Source organism: Homo sapiens, chromosome 11 (genome assembly GCF_000001405.40).
Source record: "Homo sapiens chromosome 11, GRCh38.p14 Primary Assembly".
Classification (NCBI taxonomy): domain Eukaryota; kingdom Metazoa; phylum Chordata; class Mammalia; order Primates; family Hominidae; genus Homo; species Homo sapiens.
The window spans coordinates 76,300,036-76,312,759 of record NC_000011.10 but is presented as its reverse complement, the minus strand read 5'-3'; the positions used below and the strand labels follow the sequence as shown (position 1 = coordinate 76,312,759).

At 53.0% G+C, this 12,724-nt stretch overlaps 1 long non-coding RNA gene across 4 annotated transcripts in view, besides 1 other annotated feature; it reads right to left on the bottom strand.

The window, feature by feature from the left end:
- Positions 1-12,724, bottom strand: part of LOC105369395 (uncharacterized) — a 36,263-nt gene that overhangs the window by 7,900 nt on the left and 15,639 nt on the right. For all 4 annotated transcript variants that reach the window (XR_950328.3, XR_950329.3, XR_950333.3 and 1 more), the window contains exon 4: positions 6,221-6,321. This is a non-coding gene — a long non-coding RNA (uncharacterized LOC105369395). The remainder of the gene's footprint in view (positions 1-6,220; positions 6,322-12,724) is intronic.
- Positions 6,995-7,616: an enhancer, noted in NCBI's record as "H3K27ac-H3K4me1 hESC enhancer chr11:76016188-76016809 (GRCh37/hg19 assembly coordinates)". NCBI's record gives its function as "activates a minimal SCP1, AML or CMV promoter by ChIP-STARR-seq in primed H9 embryonic stem cells {active_cell/tissue: H9 hESC(primed)}" and the evidence as "EXISTENCE:reporter gene assay evidence [ECO:0000049][PMID:30033119]".

Here is a 12,724-nt window from a genome sequence, read left to right as displayed (position 1 = left end):
ATAAGCTGCTGTTGCCAATTCTCCCGTCTCCACCATCGTCACAGTCATGGAAGCACAGTCACACTGGACCGTGACAGTCTCCTCTCACCCCTCCTCCACAGTGGCAACAAGATCTTTCCAAACGCAGACCAAACCCTGTCTCTCTCTGCTTAAAACTCTCAGGCTCCCATTGCCTCGAGGCTCAGGCCATGTTCCATGGGGCAGTGTCCAGCTGTGCCCACCTCTCCGGCCTCATCTCGTGACCCCCCTGGGCTTTACACCCAGCCTTCTTTCAGCTCCTCAAACTCCTGCTTCAGAGCCTTTGCCTGTGCCTGGAAGAATATGTCCTTTTGCCCCTCCGTCCGCTCCTCACGGCGGCCACCGCTGGCCAGTGTCTTCCCTCCCATCAGCTCTCAGTTTGAACAGCACTATCCTGGGGTTATTCTCACCTGAACCTGAGTCTAGTGGGTTCTCCTGTGTCCCTTCTGACTGCCTTCCTTCCTCCCTTAAGACCATCCTTGGCCGGGCGCAGTTGCTCACGCCTGTAATCCCAGCACTTTGGGAGGCCGAGGCAGGTGGATCATGAGGTCAGGAGTTCAAGACCAGCCTGGCAAACATGGCGAAACCCCATCTCTACTAAAAATACAAAAATTAGCCGGGTGTGGTGGTGGGCACCTGTGATCTCAGCTACTCGGTGGTGGTGGGCGCCTGCGATCTCAGCTATTTGGGAGGCTGAGGCAGGAGAATCACTTTAACCTGGGAGGCAGAGGTTGCAGTGAGCTGAGATCGCACCACTGCACTCCAGCCTGGGCGACAGAGCAAGACCCCGACTCGAAAAGAAAAAAAAAATCATCCTAAGATCTCCATTTCCTGCCTGTTTTCTTTCTGTCCACATTTGTTAAGTGCCTACCATCTACCTGGCATGAAAATACAGTGATGAACAAAAATAAGCAGGGTCCTGGCCCTCAGGGAGCCTGGATCCCAATGAGGGAGGCTCATGTTGGCAGAGAAATGCCCAGGAAATAGAGACAAACTGGGACAAGTATTTGCCACTTCTCACATGGCATTGATCACAGATTGGCTTCCCTGAGAGGCAGCTCCTGGCTGGCTGATGAGGGGTGTCCCTGGAATCATCCCTACTAAAGGGAGGGGAGGAAGCAGGAGGCTGTGATAGTCGTATGAAGGCCTCAGCTGGCCCCTGCGGGAGCTCTGGACCTGAGACAAGACTCAGAGTTGCCCCAGTTTGAGGTGAGGGGCTGGGTCTCCCCTCCCTGCAAGCTGGTCAGTCATTGGTGGAAGCTGCCCCTAGAAGAGGGAGTGATCTTGGCCAAGGCAGCTTTCTTCAGCAGAGCTGATTTTGCCGAAGTGCTGACAGCTGGGGGCTGTCTTCCTGCACTCCCAGCACTTCATTTCTGAAGAGGGACCTGGAAGGCCTAGCATCGCACATGGGAGGCATGTGTCATCACCCATGCGTGGCATGTGGGGAAACTGAGGCTCACAGGAGTCACAGGCTTTCCTGTCATCATACGGCTCACCCATCAGCCTTATAATTATCTCTCTGCTTCCAAACTTCTCCTCCTTTGGCACCTGCTTTCCCCGTGGGGAGCCGTGGAGGCAGCTGAGCACTGGAGAGGCTGAGGGGTACTCCAGAGAATTCAATAATCCAGCACCGTGGGGGTGCATTGGAGGAGCAGCGAGGGCTGGTTCCTCTGCCAGGTCTGGTACTTGGCCTCACCTGGTACATGGAGGGGCACTGCAAATGCTGCCTCTGGGGGCCATACCATTGTGTATAGAGTGTGGGGGCTCTCAGGCCCCCCCGAATCAGAGCTGTCCTCATGATTCGGCCCCTGGTAGCATCCCTGGCCCCCGTGCCCTTCAGAGGCACAGCCTGGGTACTGGCCAAGAGCCGGCAGGTGATGTAAGTGGTATGATTGAGGGGGAAGACAAGTGAGCAGAGCTGGGCCTGCCATTCCCAGGACTGTGGGTTAGACAGGCTAAACAACAAAACAAAACAAAACCCCCAGCTCCCCAGCCCTCTGTTACTGTTTGCCAAGCACTTCCTCAGGTGCTTTACTTACACTGCAGGTCGTTCTCACAACTCTGTGAGGAGAGACAATTTTTTTTTTTGTTTTTTGAGATAGAGTCTCACTCTATTGCCCAGGCTAGAGTGTGCAGTGGCGTGATCTTGGCTCACTGCAACCTCCACCTCCCAGGTTCAAGCAATTCTCGTGCCTCAACCTCCCGAATAGCTGGGATCACAGGCATCCGCCACCACGCCCGGCTAATTTTTGTACTTTTAATAGAGATGGGGCTTTGACATGTTGGCCAGGCTGGTCTCGGACTCCTGACCTCAGGTGATCCACCCGTGTTGGCCTCCCAAGGTGCCGGGATTACAGGTGTAAGCCACCGCGCCTGGCAGGAGGGATAGTTTCTTAGCCCATTTTAAAGATGAGGACATGGAGGCTTGAAAAGCTCTAGTGACTTGCACGGTGATATCCAGCTGATAAGTGTTGATGGGAGGATCCCAGGAGGGAGAGAATTCAAGGTGGAGAATGGGAGTGAGGTCGGGGGAGAGTCCCTGACTTGAGATGTGAGCTGCCACCACTTTTCCAGGGCGCTGGCAGCCCTCAGGGAGGGTGTAGAGGATGCCTCTCAGCCCTGTTTCAGCCAGGCCATCTCTGGTCTGCACTTGGGGGTGTTTTGGAGATGGAGCGGGTTACAGCTGCTTCTGCCACAGCGCCCTGGGTGAATCTTGCCTGACCTGCTCCGCCTGGATTTTGCTGAGCCCTGGGTGTTGAGGGAGGAGAGGGGAAGGAGGAGCAGAGCCACCCTCCACCTCCCAGCCACTGGGTTACAAATAATTGCACCATTGGCTACAGAACAAGGAAGGTTTCACCTCGGGTAGTGAAGCTGGGATGCTCACTTCACAGTGCACTGGGCAACTTGCGTTCTACCCTGTCTGGCAACATGTGGGGAGTCTCCTTATAGGTGACAGGCGACATGCAGAAGGCAATGGTTTCTGACCAAGAAGCCTTTTCTTCCAGAGGTTGGGGTGTGTCAGGAGCCACTTGAGTATTCTCCTGGTTTAGTGTTTCTGGGGCTGAATTCAGATGCTATTTTGTCTTGTGGGCACCTAGTGGGTGCCAAGCCCCGCATAGGGGTGTTGTAAGTCCCTGAGCCCATCCAATTTGCACAGCGGCCCAGTGGGAAAGAGATTATCACTCCCATGGCTCTGATGGGGAGATTGAAGCCAGAGAGGTGAAAGGACTCACTCAGATTTACCAACTCCCAGCCCAGGATTCCTTTGCTGTTTCCCAGCTATTTCCACAAATGATAGGACGCGTATCCTATGATCTCTGAACTGGGGAGTAAATAACAGTGGGGAGAAGCCTTTGGTTTCACTTTTGTGCTTATTAGGGAGAAATTTTGGTTGGACCAACCAACCCTCACTTTCCCCATCCATTAAATGGGGATTAATTTTATATTTATATTTATTTTTTATTTGTTCATTTTTAAAAGAAAGGGTCTCGCTCTGTCACCCAGGCTGGAATGCAGTGACATGATCATGGCTCACTGCAGCCTCAAACTCCTGGGCTCAAGTGATCCTCTTGCCTCAGCCTCCTGAGTAGCTGGGACTACAGGCATGCAGCATTTTGCCTAATTTTTTTTTTTTTTTTAGACGGAGTCTTGCCCAGACTGGAGTGCAGTGGCACGATCTTGGCTCACTGCAAGCTCCGCCTCCTGAGTTCAAGCGATTCTCCTGCCTCAGCTTCCTGAGTAGCTGGGACTATAGGCACATGCCACCATGCCCGGCTAATTTTTTGTATTTTTAGTAGAGACAGAGTTTCACCGTGTTAGCCAGGATGGTCTCCATCTCCTGACCTTGTGATCCGCCCGCCTCAGCCTCCCAAAGTGCTGGGATTACAGGCATGAGCCACTGCACCCAGCCTCGTGCCTAATTTTTAAAAAGTTTTTGTAGAGATGGGGGTCTCACTGTGTTGCCCATTAACCTCCCCGGAGACTGGCCTGGGTGCTAAAGCCATTAAATGGGTGTTAATACTAGGAGTAGTGCTAATCGATGCTGTCTTTCATGATGCTGCATGGCTCAGATGGCAGGGGTTAACACAGGCCCAGGCTCTGGAGCACAAAAGCCCTGCAAAAGTCAGCTGGTATTTCAGGAGGGGTAAAGGAATGGGCAGGCAGACCAGTAAATCCTCAGCCTCCCTAATCGTTTTAGGGCCTATGGCCCTTACCTGTTCCTGATGAGACCCGGGCAGTGCCTGGGCCCCCTGTGGGTATGTGGTATGCACACTTGCATTCAAGCATGAGTGTCCTCTTCTGCCCCCAGAGCAGGGCCCCCTAGAGCCCCCAAGCCACGTCTCCCCTTCAGATTGGGCCTCAACCAGTGGGTTCATGGTGCCTGACTGCTTAATGAGCTTGGCATCAGGGTACAAATAATTGCACCATAAGTTATGCAAATCTAATCATAACAACACTGTGCTGGGCAACTTGCATTCTCTCAGCTCTCAGGGGCCCTAATCCTGGGAGAGAACTTCCGTGGGAACCACACCGTCCCACACCCTCCTACTTCTCTGAAATTATAATGACAATGTGTACCTTGGCCTCAGCAATCACAGTTGCACAGAGGGCTCTCTGCTCCCATCCCACCCACATCTCACAATAGGAATGAGCAAACATTTATGCAGTGCTTACTGTATGCCAGGCATAGTTCAGATCACCTTATGCATATTAATGTATTCAGCCCTTCCAGTAGCATTATAAGATGGTCATTATTGGATTCTGTGTTTCATAGATGAGGAAACTGAGTCTTATAACTTGCATAAGGTCACATAGCTACTAAAGGGAGAAGCCAGAAAATTTTGCAAGAAGGGAAATTGAGGCAGAGAAAGGCGAAAAAATACTTGTCCAAAATTTTGGAGTATTTGGGGGTTCACCCAGGTCTCATTGGACCTCTTCAGCCATCTTCTAGGTCCGTGAGGGTCCGACCGTCACCCTGACATGTGGCTGTGTGTGTGTTGGGAGGTGGGGTGTGGGCTAGAGCCTCCTTCTGGGAAAGTCAGGGGATGTAGCCAAGGCAAAGAGCTATTTTAATGCCTCCCCCGCCCGCCCTGCTCCCCACACAGCCCCTCTGCTGAGCTAGGCTGCAGTGGCCCAGGGCCTGGGCCAAGCGTGGAGAGGTTTGTTCCGTGAGCAGAGGGAAGTCTTGGCTCCAGGACACTTCACACCCAATGAATTACTTCAACGCTAGATTAGGCTTGCAGGCTTGGAGCAAAGTGATAATAGGGCCCAATTAAATTAATTTATATGGACACTATGCTCCAGCCCCCTCCTTGGCCATGGGGGGGCCGGCCTGACCCACCTACCCTGGGCCAGGCCCAGGCCTTGGGGAGGTTAATGTGGAGGCTGCGCCCTCCTGGTGGGAAAGCCAGTCCCCAGCAGCGGAGGGAAAGGCCTAGGCTGTTGTTTTGTTTTCAGTCTGATGTGCAGGTTGGGAGAAAATTACCTTAATTAAATAAAGACTTGAGGAAGCTGATTCCTGGTTCGAGGTGAGGTCTGGCAGGCCTGGCTAAGAACAAGTTTCCCAAGGTTCCAGGGAGGAAACTTGACAAGGTCATTTGGGGTGGCCTTGGCTCATGGCCAGACCTCAGTGCCTCACTTTCCCCAGTAAGGGGACCCATGGGTCTTTCTGCTGAGTGGGCAGGTGCAGGGGAGAGCTGGGCACCTGGGCCACAGGTGACTCTGCTGCAGCTGGCTGTGAGGACGTCCTCGAACCCTTCCCAGGCTCAGGATAAAGCCCACCTGCTTAATGCGGCTCACAAAGCCTCACTCACCTGGCTCTCGTGCTTCATCTCCTGGTTATCTTCCTTCCACCTGACTCCCACCCTATATTCTAGAGAGACCGAATCCACCTGCAGCTCCCCAGCTGGGCACGGCCTTTGCCCGTGCTGTTCCCCTGCTTAGGACCTCCTCTTCCTCACTTTCCCTAGACAGCACTCGATCCTCTCCCCACCCCTGCACTTAGCACTCAGAATGTGGTGGTCTGTCTTGCCAGGAAATGACTAGGAGGGCAGAGGCAGATACCATCAGCACCAGGCCCCAGGGCCAGGCCAGGCCTGGCATGAAGGTGGCATCAGGGGAGGTGAGATAATTTGAGAGTTGCCGGCAGCTCTCCTGCTGTGACTCTGTCCCAGTCCCTAGCCTGGGCTGGGTCATCACTCACCTGCACAGGCCGCACTAGATGAAGAACGAAGTGCCTTGGTCGTGACTCAGCTGCTGGCCTGGGACAAGTTATTTCCTTTCTCTCAACCTCAGTTGCCCATTCTGCAAAAGGCAAGACATGGTGTCAGGGACCCCGGGCCCCTCCTGCATCTGATGCTCAGGGATTCTGCAGTTTCTGGTGCGGAAGTCTTGCCCTACCAAGCAGAGGCCAGTGTGGATACTGGCTTCTGAGGGCCATGAAGGTGAGGAAGACAGAGGAGGGTGTCAGGGGTGGTCCCAGGCTGAGCACGGCAGCGGGGCTGGGCCCCAACCTGCAACCATCCATCAATCTGACTGTGCTGCCCACTTCCGCTGCTGCCCAGACACTCCACTTTGGGATCCTGGCTGCCATCTGTAGGATTGGCAGCTTCTGCCAGGCTCACATGGCTCTGGGCCCAGAGAGGCCCCCCAGGGGTTGGAGGTAAGGAGTTAACCTCTCTCCTCCACCCCACCCACCCCTGGTTTTTGATTCTTGATCCAGGGCTTGAACTTCATCCTATGGGGTGTGGGAGCTTGTGCTAAGCAGGAAATGGCCTGATTAGATGGGGGCAGGCTATAAGCCTGTCCGGAGATGCCCCCAAGTGAGGCCCCTCGGGCAGACCCTTTACACCCAGGTCAGGCCCACCACTTCCCTCAGCATGGATGGACCACTTTGTCTCACTCAGACTTTCCAACAAGTCATTGACTCTGTAGAGCAGTGGGGCCAGCCATGGAAAAACCTGCCTTCGCCACCTCTCCTCCTCCCTGAAGGATGCAGGGCCATTTGGGGGTTGTAAATTTATGGTGGAAGCTAAGGGCCGGCGCCTGCTACAGGCAGCCTTTGAACCTCAGCCTTCCACTCAGCACCCACCGAGGCCTTTCCTCCAGCCAGTGCAAGGAGGAGGCACTTGGCTTGGAAAATAAAAGGCCTCTGTGGGGAGGCAGGAGCCTGAGTAACTCCTGCTGACCCCCAGCTCACCCCTCCAGGGCCCCAGAGGCAGGTCTTACAAGCTCCACTACGGGGATGGCTGACCCGAGGTGGGACTTAGCGCCAGCTCAGACCCTTAAGCCCCCACAGGCCTCCTCTTCATCTGATTGGCCTTTTTCTTTCTTTGGTAAGGACATTTAATAGGATGGGGATTTGGAGCTTGGATTCCTGTCCTCCCAACTCTGCCTTCTCCAGGCCTCAGTTTCCTCTTTCGTAACAATAGAGGATTAGATATAGTCATCTTTCAGTTTTATTAGGGGTCTAACATTACAGTGCACTCCACGTTCCTTTCTGGGTTCCTCCTCCGTGCCAAGGCCATGTCAGGAGAGACGCCAGTGGTCAGCTGGGGGGTGTGTATGGGGTAGGGATGCGGGTGGTGGTGGAGACGGTGGGAGCAGGGAGGGGGCCTGCAGCAGCCCCTGTAGGCAGGAGGCAGGGGAGACTTCCCTGAGTGGGTGAGAGTTGAGTTGAGGACTGGAATTTTTGATGCATTCATGTATTGATTAGACAGTGTCTGCTATGTGTCAGAAAACATAATAGGCACAGATGGTGTGTGTGTGTGTGTGTGTGTGTGTGTGTGTGTAGCATAACTTTGAGTGGAGCCTGGTCACCTTCTCTGGCTCCACTTCAAAGTTATGCTCCCACACTGGTCACCACCACTCTCTAGGAATCTAGTCAATATGGAGTAGATTGAGAAAATCACCTCCGTGGATTTGGGTACAATATCTCTATTGATGTGGCCAAAGAGATCAGTAGTTGTTTAGCAGCCTGTCTTTCACTCAGTTGCAGCAGGGAGACCCACCCACTTTGGCTAGGGGTGTGTGTGTGTGTGTGTGTGTGTGAAACAGTAGTGAAGAAAGTCATAACCCTCAGAATAGAAGTTTTTCTCTCCTGGACATGGAGGGAGGACACTCCAGGCAAAAGGAGCTCATAGGCAAAGGCAGTGACTCATGAATGGATATCATGAGTTTGGAAAAGGACAAGAAGTTCCATGTGGTTGAAGCAGGAAAGAAGTGAACACTCTGATGTAAATGGCTTTGGAACCAGAGAGATACAAGATTGAGCCCCAGTTCTGGTCTTATTAGCTGTGGGACTTTGAGTGAATTATTTGACTTGTCTGAGCCTCAGAATTTGTAGAAAATGGAGTATAAGTTTTACTTCTCAGGGCAGTGAAAATTAAATGTAAAAGGTTTGATAAAGCACCCAGCTTGGTATCTGGCAGAGATCAACACAGATGTAACCAGTGGGGGTACCACAAATAAGTGGAACTTTTTTTTTTTTGAGATGGAGTATTGCTCTGTCACCCAGACTGGAGTATAGTGGCATGATCTCAGCTCACTGCAACCTCCACCTCCTGGGTTCAAGCAATTCTCCTGGCTCAGCCTCTCGAGTAGCTGGGACTACAGGCGCATGCCAACATGACTGGCTAAGTTTTTGTATTTTAGTAGAGACAGGGTTTCACCGTGTTGCCCAGGCTGGTCTCGAACTCCTGAGCTCAGGCAATCTGCCCACCTTGGCCTCCCAAAGTGCTGGAATTACAGGCGTGAGGCACCACACCCGACTATAAGTGGAACTTTCTACCAGCCCACATCTTCTTACTGTGGAAGCAACTGCCAGGTGGAAGGAAGCTCCCTGCCACAGGAAGAACGTGAGCTGGATAAGGGTTTATCAACCAGGGAGACTATGCGGGGAGAGCTTGAACCAGCCGTCTCTGAGGTCTTCTAGAGAGGTTTGGAACTAGCATCCCTGTCCCCTGAGATTACCCCTCTCCTGGGCTGACCTGGCCCAGCAACCTCAACATTCCCCACATGTTCTGGTTCCAGAACTCCCACCTCCCTGGTCACCTCGTCTAGCTCCACTCAAAGTTATGCTTCCACACTGGTCACCACAACTCTCTAGGAATCTAGTCAGTGTGGAGCAGATTGAGAAAATCACCTCCCTGGATTTGGGTACAATATCTCTATTGAGGTGGCCAAAGAGGTCAGTAGTTATTTGGCAGCCTGTCTCACTCGGCTGCAGCAGGGAGACCCGTCCACTTTGGCTAGATGCTCTCAGATATTTTAAGATTTGTAGAAGAAGCACAGAACATTCCAGGGAAGCAATAAATCCTTGTGGGATAAATGAATGAAGTGTCTGATTTTTGGCTCATGCCGGCCCTGAGGAGGGAAATCTGGAGAATTAGAGGGCACAGAGCAATCTTCAAGGCTGGGGGTGGTGTTACAGTTTTTCCTTGGGAGCTCAAAATACTTCCTGTCTTTCCATTCATCATTCCCCTCACCCTGCTGATTGCCTTCTGCCTTCACAACACCACTCTTTGGGGGATGGAACAGCAGACTGATAGACTCTGGAATCTCAGGTTGTCAGCACTGGGAGGGCCTCTACAGAGGGTCCAGTTCAACCTCCTCTGCATAGAGATGGTGAAAGTGAGGCTGGAGTAGAGGGAGGCTGGCAAGGTGCCTCTACCCAGGGAGTCCCTATTGGAAGGCGGTGCAGGCAGATGGGGAGGACCACATTAGATAATGAGTGCCGGTGGCCTCTACTTGTGGGGACAGCTGGCTCACCCTGTTTACAAGATCTCTAGGTTAGCCCCATCCAGCACCAGCACTCAACAGCTCTGCAGAAACTCAACACTCTGGGCTCAGTGACCCTGGCAGAGTTCTCCTCCCCCAGGGCCTGCTGGAGAACCCTGGCAGGGGAGTGTGGAAAGCCCTCCATCCTGGGGTGCGATTTCAAGGCTGGCACAGGGACAGGCCTCCAGCTCAGGCTCCTCTTCTGGCTTTGCCCCTGCTCTCTGTGTGACTCTGGGCCTCAGTTTCCCCATTTGTGAAATGATGGCACCCAGCTGGATTCTGAAGCCTCTGAGCTCTCATGCTGCTGTGTATCTGAATGTCTTAGCAGGGAGGAGTCTGCACTCGCCTTCAGCATTTCCTGCCTTGGCACACGCCAAGCCCTCTATCTAATCCTGGGGGTCCCAGGCCTGCCCTCCGGGGAGAAATTGCTGTGATTTAAGGTTCCAGATTTCCTGAGCCGTTAGTGTCATGATACTTTATACCTGGGCCTTGATGGCTTTTTAATTAAAAACGGATCTCTCCCAATCCCTGGTTTTATGTCCGTCTCCGGGAGCCTGTGGAGGTGCCCCGCTCCGCCTGATGCTTTGCGTAGCCCCGGTTTCTGCTCTTCTGTTTCCTCCCTTGAGTCCCCATCTCCCCTTGTTTTAGGAAGAGAAGGGTCTGGGATTCTTTATGGACTCCTTCTTTGTGTTAGGTGCTGAGGCCCCAAAGTGCACACCACGGATGCTCAACACCACACATTTTAAGGTCTCTGTGTAGGACAGAAGAAAGGGATGGTCCCAAACCAGTTCTATTACTGGCAACCACCTTTAGCCCAAGCATGAAAGGAGGCAGAGACTGGAAGGAGAGGTCTGGTGTGCAAGGACTGTCCCCTTCCTGGCAAGTCCTGGATTTGAGGGGCAGAGGGACAGATGTCTGATTTGCACTTGAAACACCATCTGGAGGCTGGAAGCTGGAGGGAGAGAAGAGGGGGCTGCAGGGGCAAACCCTCTCTGCCAGAGTTTGGCAGGCAAAAGCCAAGTTTCCTGTCGGTCAAAGTAGACACTCTGGAATGGAGTGGGGCTCAAACCATGCAGCAAGGACCAGTCCGAGGAGTCTGCTGCTTGCCAGGATCAGGGAATCCCAACAGAAAGCCTCTGTGTGGGGCTGAAGGGAAGACTGAAGACATCAGGTGGGCTTGAGGGTGGGGTTGGTTAAGTCATCAGCAGGAAGAGGAGGCGTGCCCAGGCCGATGAATTGTGGGTTGGAGGTTCTTAGCAAAAAGGGGTCACTGAAGAGCCCACAGGACACAGGACACCCCAAAGAGAGAAGGCTGGCGTTTGCACATTGCCACCCTGAGAGGACTCCCCTATCCTGGATTCAGCAGTTCTGGTAAGACCCTACTGGTGTTCCACACTGCCCTCCACTCCCCATTCTAGGCCTGACTGTGGGCAGAGGGCAGCCTAGAGGAGTGGAAGGAGGTAAGAGAGGAACCAACTGAGCCCCTCCCCACCCAGCAGTAGAATCAGGGAATGGGCCTGAGCTGGGGGAGGAGGAACTTTGAATTGGGCATGAGATTAAGCTCCTGGGGTCAGACTGGGTGCACCTGTTACCAGCTGAAGACGAGCCTGTTCCTTAATACTGAACGCAGAGCAGGGAGATGTGGGTCCACCCTAGGTCCTTTCCCTTTTTTTTTTTTTTTGAGATGGAGTCTCACTCTGTCTCAGGCTGGAGTGCAGTGGCACAATCTTGGCTCACTGCAACCTCCACCTCCTGGGTTCAAGCAATTCTCCTGCCTCAGCCTTCCAGGTAGCTGGGATTACAGGCATGCATCACCATGCCCAGCTAATTTTTGTATTTTTAGTAGAGATGGGGTTTCACCATGTTGACCAGGCTGGTCTTGAACTCCTGACCTTGTGATCCACCCATCTCGGCCTCCCAAAGTGCAGGGATTACAGGAGTGAGCCACCGTGCCTGGTCCCTAGGTCCTTTTCAAGGGGTGGGGAGGGAGATCCAACAGGGCAGGTTTGAAAGATGGTAGTGAGGCCGGGCATGGTGGCTCACACCTGTAATCCCAGTATGTTGGGAGGCCGAGGAGGGTGGATCACCTAAGGTCAGGAGTTCGAGACCAGCCTGGCCAACATGGTGAAACCTCATCTCTACTAAAAATACAAAAATTAGCCGGGTGTGGTGGCACGCGCCTAAAGTCCCAGCTATTTAGGAGGCTGAGGGAGGAGAATTACTTGAACCCTGGAGGCGGAGGCTGCAGTGAGCTGAGATAGCGCCATTGCATTCCAACCTGGGGAACAAAGCGAGACTCTGTCTCAGAAAAAAAAAAAAAGAAAGATGGTAGCGAAAAAGTTTTTTACTTGCATGCCACTGATTCGGCCTCTTCCATACACCAGTCACACACACACTATTTCATTGAATCTCACAGCCACTGGTTTTATCATTTCCAAGTTATAGATGAAAAAAAATGAAGGTTGAGAGAAATTCAATGACTTGCCCAGGGATCCTTGACTCTGTATCTGAATGGATTCCAACGTCCGAGCAGAAATCCTTCTAGCCTAATGCTTCTTCTCAACCCCTGGAGGTTCTAATTCAGGAGCTCAGGAATGGAACCAAGGAATCTGCATTTTCACAAGTGTCTGGGAGACTCTGGCACAGGTAGGTGGTCCAGGGAGCATGTCCTGGGAAGCACCACCCTCACCTTGATGCCTTTACGGTGAGAATAACATTGTAGGTGACAGGGTCGGCTCCAGAATGCCCAGGCCATGGGGGCATCATACCGCCAGGGAAATCTCTGGACCTCAGCAGGCAGGGCCCTGGGGTCCCTTCCTTCAGTTCTGTGAGCTCCTAGGCTACTCACCTCTCCTCCGCCTCTCAGGCTCACCCACCTCATCTGAAAATGGCAATGATAGTGGGCGTGTAGGCGGGGCTCAGTGGCTCA